This window comes from Homo sapiens, chromosome 15, assembly GCF_000001405.40.
Source record: "Homo sapiens chromosome 15, GRCh38.p14 Primary Assembly".
NCBI classification, from domain to species: Eukaryota; Metazoa; Chordata; class Mammalia; order Primates; family Hominidae; genus Homo; species Homo sapiens.
This window is the reverse complement of record NC_000015.10, coordinates 61,624,704-61,646,225: the sequence shown is the minus strand read 5'-3', so window position 1 is coordinate 61,646,225 and position 21,522 is coordinate 61,624,704. Positions and strand designations below refer to the sequence as shown.

Genomic DNA, 21,522 nt, shown 5'->3' with positions numbered 1-21,522 from the left:
TCAGAGTCCAGGTTGGTAGCGGCATTCCCTGCCCTCTCATCTAGCTCATGTGAGTTACTTGAGCTCTCCTTCATCGGCCTTTGGTGAGCTGGAAGACTGGGCATTTCATAGCTTCATGTAACCACAGCTGCTGACTAACGACCCACATGTCTTTAGCTCTTATATTAGTTTCCTGTGGCTGCCGCAACAAATGACCATCTACTGGGTGGCTTAAAACAATAGGAATTTATTCTCTCACAATTGTGGAGTTCAGAAGTGCAAAACCAAGATGTTGGCAGGGCTTCCTCCAAAGGCTCTAAGGGTGAATCCTTATTTGCCTCTTCCAGCTTCTGGTAGCTCCAGGAGTTGCTTGGCTTGGGGATGCATGTCTCCAGTCTCTGCCTCTGTCTTCATGTGGCCTTCTCACTGTATATCTGAGTGGCAAATCTCCCTCTGCCTTTCTTTTATAAGGATACCTGTCATTGGATTTAGAGCCTAAGTCTAGGAGGATCTCATCTCAAGATCCTAAACAAAGAGTCCAGCAAAGACTCTTTTTCCAGAGAAGGTCACATTTGTAGGTTCTGGCAAATAGGTTATGGACATATCTTTTGGGGACCACCATTTAACCCACTACAGTCCTGGATGCCACCAGCTGGGCTCAGCCAGGGCTAGGAAGATCACTGGATGTGCACAGGCATAGATGAAACCAAAAGAAACATGGGAAATAACTACAGCATGCAGAGAAGGAGCAGGACATGAACTTGGGGAAGGAAGGGAACATTTACTGGGGAGAGCTGCAGCAGTTGGCGCACCAGGGCCCAGGGCTGTGGCAGGAAAGCCTAAATACATTTCAACAGCCAAACTGCATTACGTTTCTACTCTGTGAGGTCCTATGGGAGAAGTCAAGACATTTGAGCCGGTGCTGAGGCCCATGGTTTGCAGATTGATGACAGGAATAGCAAAGAAGAAGGAACCCTTTTGTGATAGTAACTCAGGTGGTCCCAGGATGCAAACCAGGTTGGGACCTTGGTAACATCACAATGGTGAAGGCTGGCAGGAAGCCATGTTGCAGTGAGATGGTGGCTGAAGAAATGGTTTCAAATCCAAAAGACAGCTCAGCAAAGGATAGAGCAATGAACACTAAGCAAGGGAGGCCAAATATTAGATTAATCATTGATAAATGCTATCATTAGTAATATTAAAAGGTACCATTGACCAGGTGTTTACTGTGTATCAGGAGCTTCTGTGCTAAACATTTTTACTGAGATCAATTTATTTAATGCTCACAACAGCCTATGAGGTAGGCGTTATTTTTTAGGGAAAATTTGAGACTTGGAAACGTTCGAGAACTTACCTAAATCCCACAGCCACTGGGGGGCAGGGCTAGTATTCAAAATCTGGATTACATGAGTTTAGTGTTTCTTTGTTTAGTCCTTGACTGAGCAAATGGGTGGAGATCTGCCCATATCTGGCAGGGGCCAGCCAGTGCCTAGGAGTACAAGGGGATGCTGAGTCAGTCCCTGGGAGGAGAGAAATAAAAAACTAGGGCCTCCATCAAGCACACTGGAGTTCACAATGGAGCCTCAAGCTGGGGACTAGTCAAGGAAACCAGCCAGACCAGTTGGCGGGGACAGAGGCAGGAGGCTGGTCCTGCAGACTCAGCTATGGGCTAGCCCTGGAGATGGCAGGGGCTGTGTGTAGGGGCTTTCACACCCCAGAGCTTGCTCCTTGTTCATGGAATAATGGTGAAAGTAAGGCAGGCATTCTTGCAAAGGAAGCAGCTTGATGATTGGGTGCGAGGAGACTGTCTCTCTACTAGGAACTTCCTAAAGCAGGGTGTGGGCTATTTTGGTTCTTCCTGCTTCCAATTAAGATCAGCTCAGGAGCAGATTGGAGGCAAGGGAATGGGCTAGGGGGATGGGCCTCAGTGCCCCCAGCCCTGAGAAAGTAGAGAGGAAGTGAGGTGGCAGCTGACAGGCACAAGTCTATGTGCATGTGTGTGTCCATCAAGAGATGGAGGGAGACGGGGGACTTGACTCTTTTTTTTTTTTTTTTTTTTTTGATAACTCAGTTACGGGCAGGGGACTCTGATTGCAGTTTCTCATAAGTTTGCCTCTGGCTTTCACATCCTACCATCTCAGAGTCTTTGTCTTTCCTGTGTAAAAAGTTAAGGCCTGTACAAGTTCAGAGAATTTCTCAAAATGAACTTATTAACACATTAGTTGTATAAATAAGTATTTTAATTTTTGTGGTGCACATTAAAGTTGGGGGATAGGAGACTGTCAGAATTCTTAATCGTCATGAAATATGCTCTTAATAATGAATCTTATTAAATCTAAATGAAATGCCTGTATGAGGCCCTATTTTAGTATTTTCTGAACTCACTGCAGCTTTTTTATCTCAAACAGCAACCAGAGTCATTCTAAATCATCATCAAATTAACTATTTATGTTCCCTTTCACAAACGTTCCCTTTCTCCCCCTTCTGCCTCTCCACCAACCTCTGCACAAATCTCATGTTTTATGAAGAAATAATCAGCTCTTGCAGCTCAGCGGTGGGCATTCTTTGTGCGCTGGAAGGGAGATCCAGTCACGGGGCAGAGTGATCCCCTGAAGTTCCAGAAGTGCAGGGGAAGTATCTCCTCAGAGGCGGCTATTCCTGAATGAGAAGTCCTCGGCATCAGGGGGCAAGAGAGTATGCCCACTGGAGCGCAGCCTTTGCAGAGAGACATCTGATTGCTCCCTTAGTCAGCTTCTTTTGGCAGAAGGCCAGTGACAAGGTAACGCCTCATCTCCATTCCCTTCAGATGTGATTTGGAGGAAAGAAGCCGACCAGCTTTTCAAGACCTTTTCTGTTTTGCCTTTTGGAAGCATAGCGGAAATTTGCCAATGCAGAGATCTAAGTTGGCCAAAACCATGGTGGCAGATACAATGCAATGTCACTTCAAAGTCTGGAGAAGATCATGAAAGAGTTCCATCCACGATCTTCTAAGATGCAGGGAAGAAGAAAACTCAGAGATTCAGAGGTGACACCTTCTATGTATGGACAAATTCCCCCTCCCTTTACTTTGGGACAGTAAGTTGGATTTTTACCAGAAGAAAAGGAAAGAGAGAATGAAGTAGTGTGCTATGAGAGCATACAGAGCACAGGTTTCTTATCCTAAGATGACTATCATCTTGCCCTAGCCCCTGCAGGAGGCTGGCACCATCCTGGGAGCCCCGTGCCATGGATAGGGAAATGGAAGAGATCTGCCCAGCTTCATTCAGCCTTTGCCACCCTCCCTTCCCTCCATTCATCAGGACAGCCTGGGCCAGGAGCCTCCTTTTCTTCAGCCCTTCTGCCTTCTGTTGTTACTCTGTTCTCTTTCCAAGGGTGGAGCTGAAGCTGGACCTTTGGTCAGGGCCATCACTTTCAGATCCATTAGCGGCAAATGGTATAGGGGCCAGCTAGATATGAAAAAGCTTTACATTTTTCTATGGAAACATCATTTAGCAGTAAGCACAATGGACACCAAAGCTCACCTACTTGAAAAAGGGGATATTCTCCCAGGAGTAGGCAGAAGGAGGGAGTTAGAGAAAGTCTGAACACCACCATCCCTGTTGCATCCCACATGGGTAACTTAATTAAGGCCAGGGGTAGCGAAGCCACTTTTCCAAAGTGACATAGCTGTTAGCACAGAATCTAAACCATTTGGCATAGCTCCTGGTTCTGAACATGGTATCTCTATGACCTTATGGGAAACGATTTCCTCTTCTTCCTCCTCAGTCCAGCCTTTACTAATAGCTCCTCAATACATCTGGGCTCTGTTTTGGCATCTGAGCCACGGGGGGCATCTTGGGGTGTGGAAGGAGCTTCCACTGTGATGGCTGATCTGGGCTTGAATCCCACATCTGCCACTCACTAACGAGTGGCCTTGGTCAAATGAGATAATCTTTCTGGGTCTTAGTTTTCTTATCTTTAAAATGGAGGTAATAACATCTTCCTCATCAAATTAAATGAGAAAATGCATGTGAAATTCCTGACCCATGATAGGTGCTCAGTAAATGCTACTTCTTTCTTTCCTTCCACAAGAATGAATGTAATCAATTTACGAACAGGATTCTGGACTGTGTTTGGCATCATTTACATGCTGCCATTACACAAACAAAGATGTTTGAGCCTGGAGTTGGCACTACTTTGTTGTAAACTGAAGTTGTCATTAAACTGAAATGAACACAGTATGTCAAGTTCAGCTATTTTTACATCAGGGAGAAAAACGCATGTCACTTAAGGACATAGCACCCATCACAAGGAGCTGGGAAGGCACATTTGTGAACATTGACATGAGGCAAACCAGGGGCTTTTCGTAAGTTCAGCTGTGCCCTGTGAATGTGATGGTTTCTGTTCTCTGTCGTGGCTCAGATGGGCCGAAGCCCAAAACAACATGGTGGCATACCCTCTGCGGGCCTTGCAGGTGGCCAGTTGCCAGAATATACCTGAGTCCTGGTTCTTCTCAGTCTCACATCTGGGATCCTCACATCTGAGCAACCTCATAGACTAAGTTTCTCCTAATCATTCAGTCTTTCATCAGACATTTACAAATATCCGCTTTAATCCTAAGCCCAGGGGATACAACAATGATCATAGGGCACTGAATAACCAAAATGTTTACAAAGTAATATTGCACTTAAATGATAGAAAGTTACATTGAAATAGGTAAAATAACCAAGCAACAATCGAAAACAATTGCATGTCAGCAAATCAGGAAATGGCTTTCAAAAATGGCCATTTAGAAGGGAGAACTAGGTTTTGCTGCAATCACCTATGCAGCAATGGAAAAAGAATTGGATTGCAACTTGGGGTAGCTAGGTTTAAATCCCAACTTTTGGTTCTGGATAAGTACTTTGTTTGAGCCCCAGTTTCCTCCTGTGTAAAACTGGAACTATAAATACTTTCCTTATGGTATTTTCATTAAAAAGATTAAAGTCAGTAAGGTTCTTGGAAACACCTAGTACAGGGCCTGATACATAACAAGTGCTTGGTGAACGGAGGCTGAAACTGAATTTGGAGAGGCTGCAGAGAGGGTCAGAAGCTTCAAACAAATCTCACATCAGATAAGGTTCAGGCAGCATGACTTAGAGCAGATGGCTCTTCAATTATCCAAATTAAATTGGATGAAAAATTCACCCTGGAGATTTTTAGGTGAATTTCAATCCTGTGTCTCCTTTTCAGTATTTTAGCTCCTTCACTTGCCCACCCACTGTGTAGAGTTGTTTTTCCTTTAATTTACTCAACATTTGCCTCTTTCAAACTCCAAGGGGAACTCTTTTGTTCTTGTGGGCCTAAACTCTTTATTGACAAAGGAATTAGGAAGTCTGTGGGCCAGGGAAGTGAATCTACTTTGAAGCTTCATAATTAGTATCTGCCTCAAATAGCTTCTTCTAGTGCCTATTTAAAACAGAAACCAACTTATCCTCAACTCCCTTGATTTCCCTCCTGCCCTTTGCCCCTTCTGTAAAACAATGGTTATTTACTTTAATTGATACCAGAAAGTCACAGAATCATAGGATTAAAATAGGCTGGGAAAATGACAGTAAGTGATGGTCAGGACCCGGCAGGGTCTGGTGTCCTGGGACTCCTTGTCTCGTGCTCTCCTTCCTCACTCAGTCTCTGCTCCATGTTCAGGTGCCCACTTAGTCTTACCCCCACCCCACCCTCCCCAGCCCCTCCCTGTCTTGGACACATGCCCCATTCACTTACAGCCGATACGAGGAGCCCATCTAAAATATATTCTGCAAAAATAGGATCAGTGCATCTCCATTTCCCCTGAGTGAACTTACCAAAACCTATGATTGTTTTATTGCCTTCTTCTCATTGCCATTGATACTGTCATTCTTAAAAAAACCTTCTGCAATTACATAGCAAAGTTTGCTTTTCAAGGCACTTTTATATACATTATTCCAGTTGATCCCCAGAAAACCTTCTGCAGTAGGTGTGGTATGATTATCTGCGTTTTACAGATGTGATAAAAGCACAGACTTCCCTCAGCTCACACAGCAAGGCCAAGATGGAGCACCCACATCTCTCATGGCTGGCCAGGACTCTGCACTACACCTCTCTCTAGGCACCAGAGATGTTTAGGGAAACTCAAACACCAGCTCTTGCCATCGTTTTCTGAAATTCCTCTTTAGCTAATTCCACCACCCCCATACACACTTGCAGGCCTCTTTCTTCCAGGAATGATTATGCAGAAAATGGGAACAGACAGTGATAGATGGACTTTTCCATTTTCTGCTAACGTGGCTATCAAGTCAGAGCCCATTTTAATGAATGTCCATTAAGGTCAAATTTGGAAAGCAGGTATTAAGAGTCATTGCCGCTAATTACACCCTGAGAGCTCTATTTGTATTTTCAAATTGGATAAAAAGGTTAGTAAAATGGAACGTTACAGCACAGGCTGACTCCCGGCTTGCTCTCCAAGTTTTCGGAAATGATCGGCTGCCCAGACTTGCTAAGAAATAATGTTCTGTCTTATTCTTGCCTCGTGCCTCACAGGTGAGCCAGCGCCATGAGGAGTGGCTGCCTCTTGAATCCTGTCAGTCTCCGGCAGATCCGATTACATCTGGGACCCTTAAGAGTACTTGAAGCAAACGGCGCTGGTCTATTTTAATCCTGCTCCTTCTAGAAACTAGAAACTGTAAGGAGAGTCTTCCTGCTGACAGGTGGCTCCATAAAAGTCGTCCATCTGCTGCTAATTATGGCAGAAAGAAAATTCACAGAGCCGAGTTTTCAGTTTATTTGCTAAAGATCTCCAAAGGTGTAACTGTCTTCCCAGATCACAAGGCCATTCACAGCGTTACATCTATAGCGCTTGTTAATTATTTAAATAATTTACAACTCGGGGTGGCAGCGAGCATTTAACAGAAGTCTGGCTGGGTGAGGATGGGTTTGATGGTTGATCATGGCAGAGGAGGAGAATCTGTTTTCACAGCTCACAGAATCTAGACTTGTGGGGTTTTGTTGTTCTCCTTACCATTCTTTCCAAGGGAAACTCAAAAAAGGGTCAGAATTTGGAATATTTTGGACTTGATTGCTTTGATTCCCAAACTTCAGTTCATCTCCCTCTCCTCTTCATGGTTTCATCTATAAAATGGGTACAATCTCTCAACTGTTTAACTCAGAAGGCTTTTGTGATCTTGGAATAGGATAATTTATTAAAAAGTGTCATGTATAGCATAATATATAAAGAATTTTAGACCCATGAAATAGATAGAAATGAGTAAATCTGATAGGTCAGATGATAAAATAATTTAATAATAAAAGACAGATATTTTTCCCTTCCCTGTAGTTTTCTTTTCCTTCTCCCATCTAGATACCAGTAGAATTTAAAAGTTGCTTCCTTATTTTTGTTCTTATAGAATTATATGTATATATATTTCTCTTTTTCTGCAACAATAGTCTTACATTATAGTTTAGTCATGGGTTTATGGATCCATCTCCCTCTGCTAGACTGGGAATGACTTGAGGATGGGAACAATATCTTATTCATAGTTATGTTCCCAGTACCTAGCAGGGCCTGAAACATCGCAGATGTTCAATATATGTTAAATTGAAGAGCCTTGACATTAAGCAAATGAAACAAAGGTGATTTTACTTTATGATGAAGTTATATTCAATATTAACCTTAATTAGTGGCACTAAATCTGTCAAATTCAATCATTTTTGACATATTTGATGATTTTTCTGCCGGTGCTAGAAATACTATAAAATCCATTTTAAAAGACGTATAGCTCCAAGTTGGGTGTGATAAACTGGAACCCTCCTGATCTGTTCTCTAGGTTCTGTCCTTGGGCATTACACAGAACCTTACATAAGACTCTGGTTTTCAGGTATAAAATGAAGGTAGGATGGGGTTACACAGAACCTGATGTAAGACTCTTGTTTTCAGGTATAAAATGAAGGTAGGATGGGGTTAACCACATGACTTAAGTTACATCAAATACTCTGATGGCTATAACGTGGAAGTCAGAAATTGGTCCCTAGTTGAATGATTTGCAGAGAATATACCAAAAATACAGAAATCAAATGAAGTCATTGCACATGAAAATGGTAGAACAGTGAGGCAATGGTGAGGTCAAAGGCTAGGGTCCATGTCATGAGGCAAAAGCAGTGCTAGGTCACCCCTGACTCCATCTGGCCCATTTTTTGACATTATATTTGGATGTCCTTTTACCTAGATTATATTGTTGGAATATAATTCATATGGTTTTCTATATATTCAAGTTCTCATAGAAGGGAGGTTAGGAAAATAAGTTTTGATAAAAATGACATAAAACAGCCCAAAACAATGAAGAAGTCTAAAAAAGTGGCTAGAAAAGAATTGGCTGGGATAGTGAAAAGATTTTTATTGCAAAATGTCCTATTAGATAAATCTGGTTGCATTTGCTGTTGATTTTATTTTTAAAATGTTTCATTCTGCCACTGTTCTTTGCAGACTTTCTACTTCTGGTTTTTCAATGTTGCTCTATTCTTTGAAATGTTACATGCATATGGAAGCTGCAAAGTGGGCACTAGATTGGAATAGGCCTCTCAAACCCTGCCATTGTTTGAATCTCAGTTTTGAACTAATTGCCTAACTGACTTTGCCTTGAATACCTCCTGTTCTGGTCTTACCAGCTTCTTACTTGTGACCCAATCCCTTGAAGCTGAGCTTCACTTGGTCTCATTTCTCTGTGCATTTCTTGGTTGCTTTCCTTGATCTCTCCCTCTAAATAGATCTATTTTCTAGATCTCTCTCAGCAAGCTGTCAAGCCTGCTGGGTAACCTCTTCTGGCCTGGCTTGGCCTTTGAAAGCATCACTTCTCTCCTGGTCCTTCTGGCCCCTTGAATATGACTTAGCAAGAAACTAGGTGGATAAGCCTCATGTTATGGGAACTTTTAGTTACAACCAGACTTCAGTGAGTCTTCCTCCAATCTCTCTCACTTTTCACAATTTTTCCATTCTCCATTGTACTGTTGCATAAGTTCCCATGGCAGGATTTTCCAAAATCTGGTTGTGCTCAAAGCCTTATATATTTGATTGAAAGAAACATTGCCATAGCTCTTTCTTCCTCCTTTTCCTATAGCTAATTGTAAGACTTGAGGAAAATGAAAAGGGGCTCCTACTTGGGAAAGAGCTGGAGAATTTTTGACTCATAATCTGTATAACATGAACTAATGTATATTATACATTGTTGTATGATATTCCTTATTGACATTGTCTCTCTAAATATATGGCTGATTCCTTAGAAGGTAAATACTTCTCTCTTGTCTCTCTCTCTCAAGTTTAACACCATGCCTGCACATACTGTAGGATTATTAAGTATTTTTTTCTTTAAAAATTTTTTTTTAAATTTCAATAGCTTTTGGGGTACAAGTGGTTTTTGGTTACATGGATGAATTGTATAGTGGTGAAGTCTGAGATTTTAGTGTACCCATCACCCAAGTAGTATACATAGTATCCAATGTATAGTTTTTTGATCACTTACCACCTCCCTTCTGAGTCCCCAAAGTCCATTATGTCACTTGTATGTGTTTGCATACTCATAGCTTAGCTCCCACTTATAAGTGACAATATGTGGTATTTGGTTTTCCATTCCTGAGTTACTTCACTTAGAATAATGGCCTCCAGCTCCATCCAAGTTGCTGCAAAATACATTATTTCATTCTGTTTTACAGCTGAGTAGTTTTCCATGGTGTATATTTAACACATTTTCTTTATTCACTCATTGGTTGATGGGCACTAGGTTGGTTCCATATCTTTGCACTTGTAAACTGTGCTGCAATAAACACATGTGTGCAGGTGTCTTTTTGATATAATGGCTTCTTTTCCTTTGGGTAGATACCCAGTAGTGGGATTGCTGGATTGAATGGTAGATCTACTTTCAGTTCTTATGCAGTGCACAAGTGCTCCCTCTTCACCACATCCACCTTCACGTCTATTGTTTTTTGACTTTTTAATAATGTCCCTTTTTGCAGGAATAAGGTGGTATCTCATTGTGGTTTTAATTTGCATTTCCCTGATGATTAGTGATATTGAGCATTTTGTCATATGTTTGTTGGCCATTTGTAAATCTTCTTTTAAGAAATGTCTATCCATGTCATTTGTCCACTTTTGATGGGATTTTTTTTTCTTGCTGATTTGTTTAAGTTACTCGTATATTCTGGATGTCAGTGTAAGATCATTAAGTGTTAACTATAAAAGTCACCATAGTGTGTCCACTAACTCACACTTGAGTGTTATTGTTACCGCCAAATGGCTGCCGAGAATCATATATTCTTATCTCTTCATTTCGTAAAGATGAGATACCTTTGTAAATCAAGGCCAGTGAGGTTATACTTTTGTTTTTCAAGAAGAATTATTAGTGAGAGTATGCCAATAACCCTAATATGGTATAATGATGTCCTATGTCATCCTGAATAAATAAACAATTATTTGGGGGTGATTTTGTACTTTAGCAAAGGTTTTTTCTGTGATTAAGTGAAGTATATATGCAAAATATTTTTGGCAATTATATTCTCAACACTCCAGTGTGTGGCTTGATGTTTTGAGAAAATACCTTCATTGTTACTACTCTGTGGAGCTTTTGCCAAGGTACATTTTGCTTTGCTAGTGTAGAAATGGCCTTTCTGTGGCCACTAACGATTTCTTGGCAATCCTGAATCAAAATGTCCTTGCCAGAACCTAATTTAGGGAATTGCATCTTTTTCCCACTAATTAACTCCATTGTTTCAATTAGGAAAGAACTATTCCTTCCAGCCCAGAACACTGTCTCTGAACAGCAAGATGGCTTTGAAACGCTTTCACAACGAAGGTAAGGATTTGTTGTACTAAGCTCACCCAGCATCTCTTGGGGCCACATTTTCAAGATGGCTGACCCTGTTTTTTGAGGGTCAGTAAGTTGGAATCAGAGGGTTATATAGAGTTGGAAGTTATATCAAAAGAATGCAGGGGAAGCTAAAATGATTCTTATTGTTCCCATTCTATGGATGAAGTCTCCCTGAAGTCAAGTATCCAGGCTCATCACAGTTAGAAAGTGGAAGAATCAAGATTAGAGCATAGGTCTCGTCTCTCCTTGGATAGGCAGACTAGTTCTGACTGGCTCAAGTGAATGTCACATCATTGAAATTGATCTCCTTAGAAGTGTAGTAACTAGCTGAGTTAATCAGTCATAAATTCTAAGAGCCATATCAGCCACTTGACTCTCATGGTACATGGCTGAAGTGATACTTTTCACCTAGAGTAGAGAGCATAGTCAGCAGTCTCTGATCTTTGGCTAGGAAATCTAAAATTACTTCCTCTCCATTAATGCAAATTATTATAATTAACATCAGTGATGTATTTAATTGCTATTTGTAAAAACTACTTTCTATCTGCATTAAGGTTTGAAAAATAGCTATAAATATTTTGGTGGCTTGTGACAGTAAATTAATTGCAGTACTGACTTAAGAATGATTTAAAACCTTGTTAATCTATTGGCTCATTTTTCCAAGTGACTTTGCCCCTTTAGCCAGAAAAAGAGAAGTTACCAAAGATACCTTTGCCTTTGACAGATGTTTCTTATTTGTTATCCCTGTATTGGATATTTTAATGTTCAGAGAGAATGGTAGAATGTAAAAGATGCTTATTTGGCCTTTCAGAAGAGGCTCTAAGAGCTGATGGGAGGAGGAATAATATTAACTTACCCTTTCCTATTCTCATAAGAGTTCTTCTCTCATGTCACCCATGGAGTGTTAACTGAGTATAAGACACGGGATCCAGGGTCAGACACATGTTCCTTTCAGCTCAAAATATGCCCTAACAGCAGCTTCAAGATTGTCAATGCTAACATCAAGAGGATAGGAACAGAAATCAAACAACCTCTCATACATCTTTAGTCTATATTATCCAGCTCTTAATTTACAGGGTATCATCTCAGCTAGTATGTCATTTTGAATCAATAAGTTCCCTGTTTTGATTCCTAGCTGTGTGAAGAAATATTGCCCTTTATTTATTTGCTCTGAATCTACACTTATAAAAACTCCATGTACTGTTCTTTATCCTGATGTCACTGGTTTAATTAGGCAAGAATGGGAACTATGCAAAGGCACCTGGCTGACGGTCCAGCCAGCGCTGAAGGTAGTCATCATGAGAACACCATGTCCAGGGTATTGTTTTCTATTGTTCCAAAATTGCTGGTCTTTGGCGCACTGAGAATTGAAGCAAATGTTCCCCTCCCAATATTGTATTTTGTCACCGGCATCCAACTAGCATTACTAATACTCAAATCCTCATTCTTACTCAGTATTTCCTTCCTAATGATGTCTAGTATTTGGCTGATTTTTTTTGTAGCTGTTCATTGACAAATTTTTTTTGTAATAATGATTTCAAAGTCCATAATTTGCCATATTTTTCTTATATATTAGGAGAAGATCTTCCTATTTAAGATTTATAGATTAAGCACTGTTTAAAAGATTGGACTATAATGTAAGAACCTTGTATTAGTCAGTTCTCACACTGCTGTGAAGAAATATCCAAGACTGGGTAATTTATAACAGAAAGAGGTTTAATTGACTCACAGTTCCACATTGCTAGGGAAGCCTCAGGAAACTTACAATCATGGTGGAAGGCAAAGGAGAAGCAGACACCTTCTTCACAGGGCAGCAGGATGGAGTGAGTGCAAGCAGGGGAAATGCCAGATGCTGATAAAGCCATCAGATCTTGTGAGACTCACTCATTATCACAAGAATAGTATGGGGGAGACTGCCTCCATGATCCAATTACTTCCACCTGGTCCCACCCTTGACATGTGGGGATTATTACGATTCAAGGTGAGATTTGGGTAGGGACACAGCAAAACCATATCAAACCTTGAGGGCAAGGAATAGTTGACTTCATAATTTTATACCTAATGGTACCTAAAATAGTACCTAAAATATGGTAGATACATGACCCAAATTCTCTAAATTAAAAGAAATGACTATGGCCGTTTGTGGTTATCAACATATTATCTAATGGTGAGATCAATTTTGGATGGAGAGATTCAACTCCGGAAAAGATGCTGACACATAGTAGTGAAAGATGATGTCATTTGTAACTTCAGTGGGTGGTTCCTTATTTCATTCATTTAATAAATATTGATTGAATCCCTATTATGTTCTAGGCATTGAGCTAAGTTGAAGGAAACTAGAATGTAGTTTGAAATTCCTTTGGGATCAATCAATTACATTTTTAAAATGAATTTTAATTATTATGTCTCAACAGAGGTATAATTTACACAGAATAAAGTATATAAATGTAAAATGTACAGCTAAAGTTTTTACATTTATGTCCCCATATAACTACTACCAGATCAAGTTATATGATATTTTCATCACCCCAGAAAGTTCCTCCATGGGCTTTTCTGTTAATTACCTCTTCTATGTAAATAAGCATATTCTAATTTATACCAGCATATATTAGTTTTCTGTTCATCAATTTTTATAAAAGAAATCATACAGCATATGCTTTTTTGTATGTTTGCTTTATTTTACCGAATATACTCTTTTAGAGATTAATCCATGTTGCATGTGTAAGTAGTTTTTTTTAAAGTTAGTAGTTATATTTCCAGAATTATATTATTTAAAATGGTATTAAGAGGACTCTAGGAAATGGCAGTGTCAAGGCAATAGTTTTTAAATCTCTGGAAACACCCATTAAAAAAAGTCAGAGTAGGATAACAAAGCCAAAACACCATGTACGGTATCCACAACAAAACCAAGTGAAAAGATGTCCCTACAAATGCCAAGCATTGAGCCATACTAACCAGACTACTATAGTAAGGAGGAGGCAGAGGGGTAAAAGAGGTACTTCTGATGTACTGACTAACAATCCCAAACTGACAACAGACAGTCACTTGAAAGCTCAGCAAGCCAATCTAAGGAGAGCAGTCAAATCTGGGTGGGAGCTTAGCCGACTAGAATTCCCGGGTAAGACTGATGTAGCCAGAGATGTCTGGGACCTCTGTACTCTTGATACTAATCATCCAAATCTCCCTTCAAGATGATTTCACCAGGAAGGAGAAACTTCTGTGAGCAGAATCCAAATTAGTTAGGTTAGGGAAAATAGGGGCAAAGAAAGGAGAAGGAGGGAAAAAGGAAAATGAGCAGAGCCAGTGGATCTCAGGAAGTATGAGAGTATATGTTTTCAAAAACGCTTGAGAACAACAGAAAAGAGAGCTCTACAGAATATAGCATGAAATCTATCCTGGTTCATCTTTCCTTTCTAGCAAAGAAAAACCTGTTTCACTTAAAATGAGCAACAGAAAATGATTGCAGGCAAATCCCACATAAAGTCACTATAAGGGGGAAAAAAAAAAACCAGGACCAACACAATATTCATATAGACAATCAAAGAAATCAGAAGATTATGTTTACAAAATAGATGAAAATTATAAACTAATATTTCAGAAGAGATGAAAAATAATATGAAATAATGCAAATAGAGTAAAAGAAGCTATGAAGGAACACAAATAAGCTTAGAGAAACTCAGAAATGGTATGACTGAAGAAAAGATAAGAAAAAGAAAAGCTTTGAAAAAGGACCTGTCTAAGCTTAGAAAATAATGAAAATTAAAACATTATTTCAGAAATAAAGTCTAAATGAGAAGGAACACAAGCATGAATAAGCAACACACAAAATTCCTTAGATAAATAGGAGATTGAAGAGAGTGACACAACTTTAAATCAGAAAGGAATTCAAAAGAGATGAAACAGATTAGACAGTGATACAGAAGCTAGACAGGGAAGATCCAATGCATGCATAATAGGAGTTTTCAAAGAAGAAAACAAAGATATGGAAAAGAATTAATATTAAAAACTATAATTCAATCAAGCTTTCCTGAAATAAAAGTAAACAAAAAATATGCACTGAAAAAGGGCATGCTATTTCTGAGAAAATCAATTCACAGTGGCCAAACTGGCTTAAAAATTAAAGAAAAGACTTCTTTATGAGCACCCAGACATTGATACTGGCATTCACAAGAGAGGGGAAAAAAATCAAAAAATCAGTTTGTCATCAATCTTTTCAAAAACAGTGCTTTAACCTGAAGACAATAAAGAAACATATTTAGAATACTCAAGGACATAAATGATAAGCAATGGAATTTATACCCGGCCAAACTGATCTTCAAGTATAAAGGTTGTGGCAGAGTATTACATACATGCAAAAACTCAGGGAGCGGTGTTCTCCTGAGTTTTTCCTCAGGAATTTACCAAAGGGCTGAAGAAACATGGACGTAAAGACTGATGTCTAACAGCAGCATTCAGAATGTGTACAGATAAAATTATATTTTAACATACTTCTGTAATGGGACCACCGTCATGGCACACACTGACATTTCAGTCAATGATAGACTGCATGTACGATGGTGGCCCTATAAGATAATAATACCATATTTGTTTCCTTAGGAATGTTTAGATACACAAATACTTAACATTGTGTTACAATTGTCTGCAGTATTCACTATAGTAACATGCTGTACAGACTTGTAGCCTAGGAGCAATGGGCTATAGCATATAGCCTAGATATAGGCTATACCATCTAGGTTTGTTTAGGTACATTTTATGGTTTTCCCACAAGGAAGAAATAACCTAACAACACATTTCTCACAATGTATGCCTGTCATTTAGTGATGCATGACTGTATTTATTCTGAGAACAAAAGGCTTGGTGCAAATGAACCTTTGAAGCAAGTCTGAATTATAAGAATAAGATAGTCAAGGATAAAATAACAGTGTTCAAGTAGTTCAGGTGCTTCAGTATCAGAAACAAATTTATTATGGATGAATCTTCCTTAGGAAAACCACTGGTTGTGTAAGATGAAGTTCTGTGTATGACGGTGGAAGAATAGCCATAGGCCAGTATCCATGAACTGTTGCCTGCACGTAGCTTTTGTAAGGATCCAGGCACAAAACACCTGCAAAGAATTCACAGACAATCCATACCAACACAAGCTATACCCAGGCTATACCTTCGGCAAACAGTCACCTTACACAAAGTTTTCCTCAGGTTAACTATTTCCAAAAGTGGATATTAGCCTGTTCTGGAAAATAAAGTTAGTCATTCTGTATAACCCTGACAAGAAAGGAGACCCACAGCCAGTGGTGTTATTACATTGTTTTGGGTACAAGGTGATACACTGAAGGCACTGTCTATAGAACTGTGAGGGATTTCTGAGCTTGAAGCTTGTTTCACGTGGTCCTCCTATGAATGTCTACCTGTAATCTGAATACCTGAAGCATCCACATTACATCTGGATTTGCGTTACCTGACTTTGGTTACAAAGAGCCATCCTCTTCCATTGCAGCAATACTTCCAATTTGTTAAGCACATGTGACTCAGCCACACCATGGAACTCACTAGGATTGAAGGTCTGCCTCAAGCAACTTATTCCAGTTCTCTGGCTACGTTTGCTGTATGCCCTATACATCTTATTTCTACAGGAATGGCAGTTTGGGGCATTTGAAAAAGTTGAAGTTCCCTGTTGCATGTCCTTGGTCCCCAAATCCAAGGATTGTAATTGTCCCCAGACTGTATTGCTTGCAGAAAGATAGGACACAGTATTTGAAACCAATGGGCTAAATTTTGCTAAATAACATCTTGTTTTATTTATTCACAAATAAAAATAATTTTGAGATACTCTATAAATAATTTTATTGGAAACAACGTTCCTTTTGGAATTGAACTGAAATAACCATGTCAGAAGCCAACAAGCAGATGGTAAACTTTCTGTTTCTGCTGACTTGGGCAGATTTTCTTTAAAGCTGAAGAGGGGTTCCATGCCCTAAAATCTCAATGCCTTCTTGTACCTTTCAACTGTATCAGATTTGGATCATTCGCTGAAGACCCACATTTATTTGTAGCCTACATAATCTCAGCGTTATCACACTATTTAATTACAGTACATGATTGACACCAGGAATGCTGAAATATAAACCTGAAATTGTAGAAAAGTGTTAAATTCTAGTGTTAACCCAGCATATTTCCTGTTTCAAGGTTTTGGGAGCCTGCAAGGTATTTTTTTTTTCTGAATAATTCTAGAACCATGTTTTGCTTATTGAAGACACTAAAGGTCTGTCAGGTCAATATATTTGTGGCTTCAGTTTTTGTAGTTCCTGGCAGACCTGAGGTAGTTCCTGACTTCTTCTATGATTTCTATGTTATCTTTTTTTCTTGTGTTATCTTTTCCTCTCAGAGGTACTGCCCCTTCTCAAACCTCTACTTCCATGATTCAACAGCATTTACTAAACAGTCATTCTACACAGGCATTTTGTTAGACACATTCCCTTTTCCAAGTTAAGTCTATATACATATACAGTGACTGACTGTATATGGTAGGAATATTTGTCCTTTCTTTTTCAAAAGATAAGAAAAACTCAAGTTTATTAAAGGAGTAACACGCTTAAGGCCACAGAAAGTAAATTGCAAATTTAGAATTTGAATATTAAGGCTTTGGAACCAAAACATCTGGTCATGAATCCTAAAAGGAACATTTGCTAGCAAATTACTTACCTGAGTTTCCTATTTATTACAAGTGAACATAATTTCTACTTTATAGGGTTGTAAGAACCAAAGATAATATACATAAAATGCCTGGCACAGTGCCTGAGACATAACAAATGCTCAATAGTGGTGGTGATTGTTAATTTATAACACTCACATTTTTGTTTTAAATGCTTTTCATTCAATGTAACTTAGAGACAAGTGTTTAGGCCCTGGAGATAGAGGTTTGGACATGAATCCCATCTCCACCACTTACTAATCATTTAATTTCTCATTTAATTTCATTATCTGAAAAATGGGAATAATAATAGTGGCTACTTTATAGAGTTGTTGTGAGGATTAAATAAAATAGTGCCAATTAAATTTTTTAAAGTGCTACTTCCCAGTAGGCACTTAATAAATACTAGCTATTACTATCCTACCTCAGTGCCAACCTGTTCTCAGAAAAGGATCAGGCAAATTCCTGTACCCTAAGAACTAAGTTATTGAGAAGTCTTGCTATAACATTCCTCTCAGATAAGTTATTTGGCTCAAAGTTTTAACATCTACTGGTGAATTTTTCGGAATCAACAGCACAAGCTGGGAAAACTCTGCATCTGTTCGATATGTGTCCCAAATGTCAAATTTCAAATTTTGTGAAAAAATCCACCTCAGAGACACAATTTGGTACTGAATCCTTTAGTTTAGGTCTGGTCCACGGAATGATAGGCTCTCAGATGGGAAAGATCTTAGCAGTTTTCTGGTCTGGTCTTCTCACCATCAATTCCAGGTAAGCTGTTACACCCTCTCTGTGCAAATTGATTCACAGCTAGGGAACAAGCTTAGGTCCACTCCTCCCCTGTACTCTTCTCCACTGTTGAAAGGACTTCTTCCTCTTATCCTGCACTCCTGATTGACCTATTGTCGGGGCAATGCTGTAATGCTCTGTGCCATATATCTTGTGCTCATGTTTAAGTTCAATCTTTAACTTTTCCAGAATCTATGGCCTCTTAAATAGAATATAAGCTCCCTGAGGACATGGCTTATGAATTAAATTACTTTGAACTAATTATTAATAACAAATCCTGTGTTCTGTGCTGTGCTATGGGGGGTACAAAGAAGTTGGTAATAAATAAATAAGTTGATAATAAATAAATAGGCCAGGTGTGGTGGCTCACACCTATAATCCCAGCACTTTGGGAAGCCAAGGTGGGAGGATCGCTTGAGCTCAGGAGTTTGAGACCAGCCTGGGCGTCAGGTGAAACATGGTGAAACCCTGTCTATAGCAAAAATACAAAAATTAACCAAGCATGGTGGCACATGTCTGTGGTCTCAGCTACTCAGGAGGCTGAGGTAGGAGGATCTCTTGAGCCTGGGAGGCAGAGTTTGCAGTGAGCTGAGATGGCACCAGTGCACTCCAGCCTGGGTGACAGAATGAGACTCTGTCTCAAAAATAAGTAGATATATAAATAAATAGTTGTAAAATAAGATTTTTAGCCCCCAATCAACAACAGCAAATCCATTTCACCTCTCCTATCAGTGCTGACCCTACTCTAAAGTGGTTTGTATTCAGAAAAATGGCAGTATGTGGTATACATACCACGTACCATTCTAGAAAGGAAAGGAGAAGTGGGCATTGTCCCAGTCCTTGAAAGATAGGTAGAATTTTAATAGAAAGACCCATGAGTGACAATGGCAGTTCACATGCTTTGAGAAAAGGCATTAAGTATTCACAGTAGTGCAGAATATTACACCTTCACTATGGTAGCTGTGCCATCAAAGACAGTTGAATTCAATGCCTATAGGAAGAGACTTCCCTCCAGGCTCAAATTCCAAGACAAGTCCCATGAGAGGGTGGCATCATTAAAACACCAATTTTTTTTAGATTGGCTCAGCTGGGTGTCATCTGGCTGGGGTGCCAGGATTCAAGTGATCTGATCAGGTTATATAAGGAATTGGTCAAGTAGCTGAATATTAGAGGGAGGTCTCCAAGGGGACTTCAGTTTTTTTTAGGGAGTTATGGAAGATGACAGCCATCATCAGCATTAAGCACTCCTTCTTACTTTTGCAGAAAGGTGCCTGGATCCCCCTGGGAAAAGTGCTGTCTCCAGTTGTTCACAGTATATGCTATTATATAATTGTGTGGATTATTTCCCACTTACATGTGTCTGGGTTTCTATAGTAAGGGCATAGTCATGTTGGTGTTGATTGGGCAATATAGCCAAGTGGTTAAAAGCATGATCCCTGCATATGAACAATGGCTCTATGACCACTAGCAAGTTACTTAATCCTGCCAACCCTCATTTTCCCCATCGGTAAAATTGGAATGACAGTCATGCTGATTTTCTAGGGCTTATGTGAGAATCAAGTAAAATAAACCACTTAAATATACCAGTCACTGTTTTAACCACTTTGCTTTTTTTCTTTTCTTTTCTTTTCTTTTTTTATGATGGTGTCTCATTCTGTCACCCAGGCTGGAGTGCAGTGGTGCAATCTCAGCTCACTGCAACCTCTGCCTTCCAGGTTCAAGCAATTCTCTGCCTCAGCCTCCTGAGTAGCTGGGATTACAGGCACTCGCCACCATGCCTGGCTAATTTTTGTATTTTTAGTAGAGACGGGGTTTCACCATCTTGGCTAGGCTAGTCTTGAACTCCTGACCTTGTGATCCACCTGCCTTGGCCTCCCAAAGTGCTGGGATTACAGGCGTGAGCCACTGCGCCCAGCCACCACTTCACGTTTATTAAGTCACTTAAGTAACTTGACAATCGTAAAAGGAGTTACTATTATTTTTTCAATTTCAACATGTGAGGAACTAAAGCAGCAATCAAGTGATTTCCCTGTTATTATTATTCTAGACACATTAATGCAGTATTTTCTCTGAGGGAGAATTTCTTCCTGTGGAGCCACAGGATTCTTCTAAAAAAAAGTTTGGCAGCTTCCAAGCCTCTCAACGTGAGAGCTTTCAATGTTTGAGATGATGTGGGGTAGGGGTAGAAGGTTCCTCATGAACCCAGCCAGGCTGACAAGAGGCTTAGGTAAGGTCAGTTTCAGCTTCTACACTATTCTGTGGACCTGCACATTCTTTGTTTTTTGTCTTTTTGGTTTTTTTTGAGACGGAGTCTTGCTCTGTCGCCCAGGCTGGAGTGCAGTGGCACAATCTCGGCTCACTGCCACCACCACCTTCCAGGTTCAAGCGATTCTCCCACCTCAGCCTCCCAAGTAGCTGGGATTATAGGTGCTTGCCACCACGCCCAGCTAATTTTCGTGTTTTTAGTAGAGACGGGGTTTTGCCATGTTGGCCAGGCTGGTCTCAAACTCCTGACCTCAGGTGGTCCGCCTGCCTCGGCCTCCCAAAGTGCTGGGATTACAGGCATGAGCCACCGCGCCTGGCCGACCTGCACATTCTTTGTGTCCTAGGACTTATCATATTTTAGGAATCTATGTGACTCAATTATTGGAAAGAAATTGTGTGATCATAATCTCATGAGGTTTTATTTTTTAGGATTTGCTTTCTTTTTGAAAAGACATACGTTTTAGAAAATCACATATTTATCAACTTCTAAGTGAATTTGCTGACCCATGATAATGTTAGGCCAGTAGTCTTTATACAAAATCTCAAATACTTTCTCATGCCTGACACAAACCTAGCAATGCGCCAGGATTTGGGACTGAAGAAAACCAAAACGACCTGCCTCGTTGTTGAGTTGTGCTTTTAATTTTTGTGAAGTGACTTTCCTCATCACTTCACAAAGCCTAACTTATTCCTCAGGATGACAATCAGGACATGACAGAACCAAGAAGGAAGGAAGCTAAGGACTCATGCCAATGTGTGTCACTGAATAAGCTTGCGCCTCATGTCTGCAGAGCATGGGTCTCCCCAGACCACCTTCTCCTCCATTTGGACAGATCTTGACATTCTGTATTCAGCCCTCATCTCAAATTTACCATGTACAAAGAAACATCTGGAGAATTTGTAAAACATAGACTCCTGGGCTACAGAGATTCTGATTCAGTAGGTTTAGCACAA

At 39.9% G+C, this 21,522-nt stretch overlaps 1 long non-coding RNA gene across 3 annotated transcripts in view, besides 1 other annotated feature; it reads left to right on the top strand.

Annotated features, from left to right (window-relative positions):
• Window positions 1-21,522, top strand: part of LOC107984782 (uncharacterized) — a 208,325-nt gene that overhangs the window by 68,961 nt on the left and 117,842 nt on the right. For 2 of the 3 annotated variants that reach the window (XR_001751569.2, XR_001751570.2), the window contains exon 2: window positions 10,737-10,811. This is a non-coding gene — a long non-coding RNA (uncharacterized LOC107984782). Of the gene's footprint in view, window positions 1-6,513; window positions 7,300-10,736; window positions 10,812-21,522 lie in introns of those variants that run through there. The other variant, XR_007064667.1, reaches the window with a different exon arrangement.
• Window positions 4,944-5,572: an enhancer, noted in NCBI's record as "OCT4-NANOG hESC enhancer chr15:61932853-61933481 (GRCh37/hg19 assembly coordinates)". NCBI's record gives its function as "activates a minimal SCP1, AML or CMV promoter by ChIP-STARR-seq in naive H9 embryonic stem cells {active_cell/tissue: H9 hESC(naive)}" and the evidence as "EXISTENCE:reporter gene assay evidence [ECO:0000049][PMID:30033119]".